Source organism: Homo sapiens, chromosome X (genome assembly GCF_000001405.40).
Source record: "Homo sapiens chromosome X, GRCh38.p14 Primary Assembly".
NCBI lineage: Eukaryota > Metazoa > Chordata > Mammalia > Primates > Hominidae > Homo > Homo sapiens.
Window position 1 is genome coordinate 30,627,774 of NC_000023.11, and position 8,922 is coordinate 30,636,695.

Genomic DNA, 8,922 nt, shown 5'->3' on the forward strand with positions numbered 1-8,922 from the left:
GGTGATTTTCAGCAAACCTTCAGAGGGTGAAGGGAATGTTTTCCCTTGGTCCCTACAGTGTGCAACTTATAGACAATTGCCAATGAAGATATTGCCTTTCTTTGTTGTGCATTTCACAACCAGATTATGTAACTTTTTCACGGTATGTCATCATCAGCAGCAACGTATTTAAATAACATGCTAAGTACACAAGGATACTTGGCTTTTTACTTAGTGTGATTTGAAGTGGACTTTGTTGCTTCCTGTCTTTCCTCTTAGTGGGTAGAATGAAAGGAGAAGAGAGAAAGAGGTAGGGGGTGACAGGAATGTTCTTATAGGCCTGCTTGGAGAAAGGCATGAACGTGCTCCCTATTCATCCCCCCAACCCAACACCCACGCCCACATTACATAAGCAGCTCCATTCAGATGAAAGAAGCTCATTATATTGCCTTGAAAATGACACAATAATTGTGTGTCTCTCAGCTGCCTTTCCCTGTATTTACATCCCCAAAGCCGTGCAAAGTTTCCACTCCTAATCCAACCCCAAACCCTCCTCACCCTGCACTCATTCTTTTGATACCATTTCCTTAAGAACCAACCATTGTGGAGGTTGTCACCTAGGTCGAAACCAGGTTAAAAAAATATTATACTGAAGAAAAAACACTTCTCAAGCAGCAAGCAAATATTTGCTGAGAGCCTATTATGAGGCCATACCTTTACTTAATGCCAGGTAGACCAAATACAGGAAGTGCCCTCCTAAACAAGAGACTAACCCTGCCCTTTGACAACGAGGGATTCTCCTACGTGAACAGCCACCTCAGCCTTAAGTTTTGACCATCCCTCCAAGATACAACAAGCCAGAATTTTGTCTCTACCTTAAAGAGTAAAATTTCTGGACTTAGAAGTTCGAAGATTTGCACTTAAGTTCGGGCTCAGTTCCCTAATAACACATATCAACTCTCTATGTAGGTCACTCTTGTTCATTAGTAATCTCCTTCATTTTGATTCATATTAGCTTCACTTCGGATGATAATTTTTTTTCTGATGTTCTCAAATTCTGGGTTGGATACTACTAATGCCATGAAATCAGGAGGGAAGATTAAGTTTAGGAGACAAATATATAATTGGTCATGAAAATGCGCATTTGAGACCTTAGAAAAGAATTGATATTCCTGAACAGTATGATTTTATGTAATTATAGAAGCAATTCTTCTATTATCCTCAAATTAGCTTCTATTACTAAATTTTGCATAGGGTTTCTATGCAAATTGAATTATAAATTATAAGCCAAATTGTATTCTCGTTTCTTTTTCCATGTAAACTGCCAGAGTCAGTTTTGTGTGTGTGTATCTGTGTGACATGCACACAGTAAGTATTGCTAACTCAAACTTTTTGTCAATGAAGAGTTGATGAGGAGAAATGTGTTATAGCAGGGGATCTGAGGGATGGTAAAACTTTCTCAGGAGGCGTGCCAAGAACAGAGTACTTGGTCTGCATCAGAAGAAGACCCCTCTCTATCTGCAAAGGCTATAGTTGTATCAGTAAATGAAGGACTCTGTAAAAGAGCAAAAGCACTGGCCGGGAGTGGTGGCTCATGCCTGTAATGTCAGCACTTTGGGATGCCAAGGGGGTGGATCACCTGAGGTCAGGAGTTTGAGACCAGTCTGGCCAACATGGTGAAACCCTGTCTCTACTAGAAATACAAAAACTAGCCGGGCGTGGTGGTGGGCGCCTGTAATCCCAGCTACTCCGGAGGCTGAGGCAGGAGAATCGCTTGAACCTGGGACGCAGAGGTTGCAGTGAGCCGAGATCACGCACCACTGCACTCCAGCCTGGGCGACAGAGCAAAACTCCGTCTCAAAAAATTAAAAACAAACAAACAAAACAAAAGGAAAAAAGAGCAAAAGCACTGATGCAGAAGCAGGGGCAGCAGACACACCTCAAAATAAAGAAGGGAAAGACGTAAAGGAATTAAGCAGTTAGGAATCTTATTGCTTCTCAGGTTTAATTCAGGTACTAAACTAACATAGCAAGTTTTCCTTCAGGTTGCAGTAAACTGAAGTACTGTCAAGGGGGTATTATAAAGAAGCCACATCTGTCCTCTCCAGATAAATTACTAGCATTCCAGCTCCTCTGGAATTGGGAACATCCCTGTATAGTCCCAGAAGTGGCCACTGTTCTCAGGTCCTGGGATAGGCAAAATAGTGATACCCCCAAAATGTCCATGCTCGAATCCCTGGAATCTGTGAATATGTATCCTTCCATGGCAACAGGGAATTAAGGCTGCAAGTTGAGTTAAGGTTGCTAATCAGATGACCTTACGATAGGAAAATTATCCTGAATTGCTGCTCGGCGGTCCCACGGGTCTGTCTCTTGCTTCAACAGTGTTTGGACGGAACAGTTCCGGGGACTCTTTCTTCCAGCTTCCGACCGCCCTCCTATTTCCTCTCCACTTGCAACCTCCAGGACCATCTTCTTGGCCATCTCCTGCTTCTGGGACCTGCCAGCACCGTTTTTGTGGTTAGCTCCTTCTTGCCGACCAACCATGAGCTCCCAGATTCGTCAGAATTATTCCACTGACGTGGACGCAGCCGTCAACAGCCTGGTCAATTTGTACCTGCAGGCCTCCTACACCTACCTCTCTCTGGGCTTCTATTTCGACGGCGATCATGTGGCTCTGGAAGGCGTGAGCCACTTCTTCCGCGAATTGGCTGAGGAAAAGTGCAAGGGCTACGAGCGTCTCCTGAAGATGCAAAACCAGCGTGGCAGCCGTGCTCTCTTCCAGGACATCAAGAAGCCAGCTGAAGATGAGTGGGGTAAGACCCCGGACACCATGAAAGCCGCCATGGCCCCGGAGAGAAAACTGAATCAGGCTCTTTTGGATCTTCATGCCCTGGGTTCTGCTCGCACGGACCCCCATCTCTGTGACTTCCTGGAGAGTCACTTCCTAGATGAGTAAGTGAAGTTCATCAAGAAGATGGGTGACCACCTGACCACCCTCCACAGGCTGGCCGGCCCGGAGGCTGGGCTGGGCGAGTAACTCTTCGAAAGACACTCTCTCAAGCAGGACTAAGAGCCTTCTGAGCCCAGCGACTTCTGAAGGGCCCCTTGCAAAGTAACAGGGCCTCTGCCTAAGCCTCTCCCTCCAGCCACTAGGCAGCTTTCTTAACTACCCTAACAAGCCTTGGATCAAATGGAAATAAAGCTTTTTGATGCAAAAAAATAATAATAATAAATAAAAAAGGAAAATTATCCTGAATTACCTTGTGGGCCCAATGTAATTACAAGGTCCTCCTCAAAAGTGCAAGAAGGAGAGTGTCAGAATGATATCATGTGAAAAAGACTAGACTATCCATTATTGACTTTGAAAATGGCCTGAACCAAGGAATGAATGCAGATACCTCTTCAGAAGAGGAAGAGGCAAGAAAACGAATTATCCCTTAGAGCTTCCAGAAAGGAATGCAGCCTTGCCAACACCTTGATTTTAGCTCAGTGAGATCCATTTTGGACTTCTGACCTCAGACCTGTAAGATAATAAATGCGTGTTGTGTTAATCCACTAAATTGGTGGCAACTTGTTACAGCAGCTATAGGAAACTAAACAGGCCTTATATGACCTCTTAGTGATATTTTAATTTTTTTTTACTTCATTAGATTTTTGTAAGTTGCTCATTATGCATAAAGGAAATGTAGTTTTCTGTTCTTCCTCATCTGAAGTTATAACAGTTATTCTTCCCCAGGTTGTTTTTAATGAAAAATTTTACTTTGCAACTTGCTTTCTTCACTTACTATTCCACAGACATTTTCCAGGTCAATTCACAAGGATATAACTCAATATAAAAGTTAAAATACTTATTCTTTTTAGCAAAGAAATACAAAGAAGAAGATATACAGAGAAGTCTGAAGTTGAACGCAGAAACAAAGGGAAAACAAAAAACAAAAACAAACAATTGGCCCATGAGTCCACAGCCCACATAAACTCTGTTGGCAATTTTTAAATATCAGTAATACATATTACTGGGCAGAAAATCCATACTGTACATATTGATACAAAATTTTAAGTAGAAGCTTTCCTCTTTTCCTTCCTCCACATTCCTCTCTCCAACGATAACTGTTCAAAGTTATTTATGTTTCCTTCTAGAATTCTTACACACACACACACACACACACACACAGATGTGCGATGGTTTGAACGTTTGTCTCTCCAAAGCTCATGTTGAAATTTTATTGCCATTGTAATGATATTAAGAGATGGGTTCTTTAAGAAGTGATTAGGCCATGAGGGCTCTACCTTCATGGGTGGGATTGATGTCATTATAAAGATTGAGTTCAGGCTGCGCTCAGTGGCTCATACCTGTAATCTCATCACTTTGGGAGGCCGAGGCGGGTGGATCACTTGAGGTCAGGAGTTCGAGAACAGACTGGACAACATGGTAAAACTCCGTCTCTACTACAAATACAAAAATTAGCCAGGCGTCCTGGCACATGGCCTTACCATGGACATTTTTATTACTTTAGTTATCAAGAAATTATCTCACTTCCAAAAATGATCTAAGATCGATGATTCCATTTTTTTCTAGCTTTGTTTTTAGATGGCTTTTTAAATAGTTAACACTTTAACTAACTTGAAATACATTTTGGATGTAATAAAAATATTGTTGTAAATTTATTTTTCTCCATATTCATATCTATGTTCCTTAATACATTTATTAGTGATTCATTTTTATTACTTAATGTCTGATTTGCCATATACTGATATATCTTAAAATGTTTTTAGAGCACTTTTTGTACCTATTCGACTTCATCATTCTATTTTCTCTACTTAGGATAGTACCAAAAAATCATGAGGATTTTTAAAAAGTTTGGCAGAGTAAATCTTTTCTTTTTTCTTTTCTTTTTTTTTTTTTTTTGAGATGGGGTCTCGCTCTGTCACCCAGTCTGGAGTGCAGTGGCGTGATCTCGGCTCACTGCAAGCTCCACCTCCCGGGTTCACGCCATTCTCCTGCTTCAGCCTCCCGAGTAGCTGAGACTACAGGAGCCTGCCACCATGCCCAGCTAATTTTTTGTATTTTTTAGTAGAGACAGGGTTTCACCGTGTTAGCCAGGATGGTCTCGATCTCCTGACCTCGTGATCTGCCCGCCTCAGCCTCCCAAAGTGCTGGGATTACAGGCGTGAGCCACCACGCCCGGCCTTGGCAGAGTAAATCTTACACTATCTTTTTTTCTAAAGATATAGCTTGGAATTATAATTTTTCTTAGAAAGTTTACTACAGATACTCAAGTGCTGTGAAGTACTTGAGAATTTAATTGGTAATGTATTGAATCTATAAATTAACTTGTGAAATATCTCTTTATCATATTGTCTTCCCAAAGAAGAACACGTGTGTTACTTCTTGTGTTTAGAGTTATTTCTGCTCTTACAGTTGCCGAATCCTTCTTTACAAGTCATAGATGTCTCTCATTAGATTAGTACCTAAATAGGTAATGTTTTCATTTTATTATTATTATTGAGACATGGTCTTGCTCTGTCACCCAGGCTGCAGTGCAGTGGTGCAATCTCAGCTTACTGCAACCTCCGCTTCCCCAGCTCAAGAGATCCTCCCACCTCAGCCTCCTGAGTAGCTGGGACCACAGGTGTATGCCACCATGCCTGGCTAATTTTTTGTATTTTTGGTAGAGATGAGGTTTCACCATGTTGCCCGGGCTGGTCTCAAACTCCTGAGCTCAAGTGATCCACCCGCCTCAGCCTCCGAAAGTATTGGGATCACAGGCATGAGCCACCATGCCCGGCCTAATGTTTTTATTATCTCCTACATTTCCAAAGCATAATGGGTCCAGAATTTGCTTTGACCATATCATGACCTAACATTTTATTTTTTACACAGCACCTTCCCAACCACTGTCTCATTTGAGACCACCCTGTGAGAAAAGTTAAGCTCCAGGCATGTGACTTCAGAGATAAAAACATGTAAAAAGTTAGCCCAAGGTCACTCAGCCAATGACTGCTGGAAATGAGTCTCAAGTCCCTAACCTAGAACCCTTTCCACTTTCTTTAATGGGTTGCACAAGAAAACATTGATTTGCAGTTCTCGAATAATCAGTGATGTTGAGCTTTTTTTCATATGTTTGTTGGCCACATATTGGTGATTGTTAAAAAGTAAAGAAACAACAGATGCTGGCGAGGCTGTGGAGAAATAGAAACACTTTTAAACTGTTGGTGGGACTGTGTAAATTCCCACCAACAGTTTAAAAGACTGTGGAAGACAGTGTGGTGATTCCTCAAAGACCTAGAACTAGAAATACCATTTGACCCAGCAATCCCATTGCTGGGTACATATCCAAAGGAATATAAATTATTCTATTATAAAGATACATGCATGCGTATTTCACTGCAGCCCTATTCACAATAGCAAAGACATGGAATCAACCCAAGTGCCTATCAATAAATAGACTGGGTAAAGAAAATGTGGTACATATACACCATGGAATACTATGCAGCCATGAAAAGGAACAAGATCACGTCCTTTGCAGGGACATGGATGGAGCTGGAAGCCGTTATCCTCAGCAAACTAACGCAGGAATAGAAAACCAAATACCGCATGTTCTCACTCATAAGTGGGAGTTGAACAATGAGAACACATGGACACAGGGAGGGGAGCAACACACACTGGTGCCTATCGGGGCTGGGGGGTGTGTATGGGGAGGGAAAGCATCAGGAAAAAATAGCTAATTCATGCTAGGCTTAATATCTAGGTGATGGGTTGATAGGTACAGAAACCACCTTGGCACATGTTTACCTATGTAACAAACCTGCACATCCTGCACTCACATTATGGAACTTAAAATAAAACAAAATTTTTTAAAAAAAGAAAACATTGAAATGTCAAGTTTTTTCTTTGTTATTATATTTTCTTACTATCAGTTCCTTCAGATCAATAAAAGTTCATAGTCACATGATACAGGAGAAAGCCCAAAATCCTGGCATAGGTTATTTATTACTCTTGTGCTAATGAACAAGGCTTAAACTTTCTGAGCTTTATTTTTCTTTTTTCTTTTTTTTGAGACGGAGTTTCACTCTTGTTGCCCAGGCTGGAGTGCAGTGGTGTGATCTTGGCTCACTGCAACCTCTACCTCCCGGGTTCAAGTGATTCTCCTGCCTTAGCCTTCCAAGTAGCTAGGATTACAGGCATGCGCCACACTCAGCTAATTTTGTATTTTTAGTAGGGATGGGGTTCCACTATGTTGGCCAGGCTGGTCTCGAACTCCTGACCTCAGGTGATCCACCCACCTTGGCCTCCCAAAGTGCTGGGATTACAGGCGTGAGCCACCACGCCAGGCCTGAGCTTTAGTTTTCTTATGTGCAAAACCAGAATACCACCTGTCATGTCTACTTTGCAAGGTTTCAAAGATAAAACGACATCAGGTATATGGAAATCCCCAAAAAACGTTACTGAGAAAAGTCGCCAAATTTCTCTTAGTCTTTTTTTTTCCTTTTTTTAATACAGACGGGGGTCTCACTATGTTACCCAAGCTGGCCTTGAATTCCTAGTGATCCTCCAGACTCAGTCTCCCAAGTAGCTGGAACTACAGATGCGCACCACCAGCTACTTAGTCTATTTTTTTTTTTTTTTTTGAGACGGAGTCTCGCTCTGTCGCTCAGGCTGGAGTGTGCGGTGGCACCATCTCGGCTCACTGCAAGCTCTGCCTCCCGGGTTCACGCCATTCTCCTGCCTCAGCCTCCTGAGTAGCTGGGACTACAGGCGCCTGCCACCACACCCGGCTAATTTTTTGTATTTTTAGTAGAGACCGGGTTTCACCGTGTTAGCCAGGATGGTCTCGATCTCCTGACCTCGTGATCCGCCCGCCTTGGCCTCCCAAAGTGCTGGGATTATAGGCATGAGCCTCCGCACCCAGCCTAGTCTATTTTTTAATGTAGAAAATGAGGAGTTATCTCTAAGGGTTCTTCCAACACAATTAGTCTATCAAGGCTGCTAATTACGGGAGCTATTTTCATTTAATTTAAAAATATAATATTCTTACTTGATAATTGCAATTTCCACCTCTTACTGAGGGTGGCAGTGCTGGTCTCTACAGAGATCAGGATTACTGGCGTTACAACCTTATTATTTGTTACATTTTACAAAACCCTTATTACCGTTCTTAAATATTTTGTGTGGTATGTGTATATTTTTTTAAGTATAAATGAAATGAAACTTTGTTTTGTATTAGAGTGTGGTACTATTCTTTTTTTTTTTTTTTTTTTTTTCCAGATACAGTCTCAAGGTGATGCCCAGGCTGGAGTGCAATGGCACGATCTCGGCTCACTGCAACCTCCGTCTTCTGGGTTCAAGCGATTCTCCTGCCTCAGCCTCCCGAGTAGCTGGGATTACAGGCACGCGCCATAATGCCTGGCTCATTTGTTTTGCATTTTTAGTAGAGATGGGGTTTCACCATGTTGGCCAGGCTGGTCTCTAACTCCTGACCTCAGGTTGTCCGCGTGTCTGGGCCTCCCAAAGTGCTGGGATTACAGGCGTGAGCCACGGTGCCTGGCCGACATGCCTTTTAAAAAAAAATAGGCTGGGCGCGGTGGCTCACTCCTGTAATCCCAGCACTTTGGGAGGCTGAGGCGTGGATCACGAGGTCAGGAGATCGAGACCATCCCGGCTAACATGGTGAAACCCTGTCTCTACTAAAAATGCAAAAAATTAGCCGGGCGTGGTGGCGGGCGCCTGTAGTCCCAGCTACTCAGGAGGCTGAGGCAGGAGAATGGCCTGAACCCTGGAGGCGGAGCTTGCAGTGAGCCGAGATCGCGCCACTGCACTCCAGCCTGGGCAACTGAGCGAGACTCCGTCTCAAAAAAAAAAAAAAAAAAAAAGGCATGTCATTGGGGTGGCAATGGTACTGAGGTTAGAATTTCAATCAGGTGATTTGTGCAACTCCAGTT

The 8,922-nt window shown here is 42.8% G+C and overlaps 1 pseudogene; it reads left to right on the forward strand.

Annotated features, from left to right (window-relative positions):
* On the forward strand, positions 2,324–3,196 carry FTLP2 (ferritin light chain pseudogene 2; annotated as a pseudogene).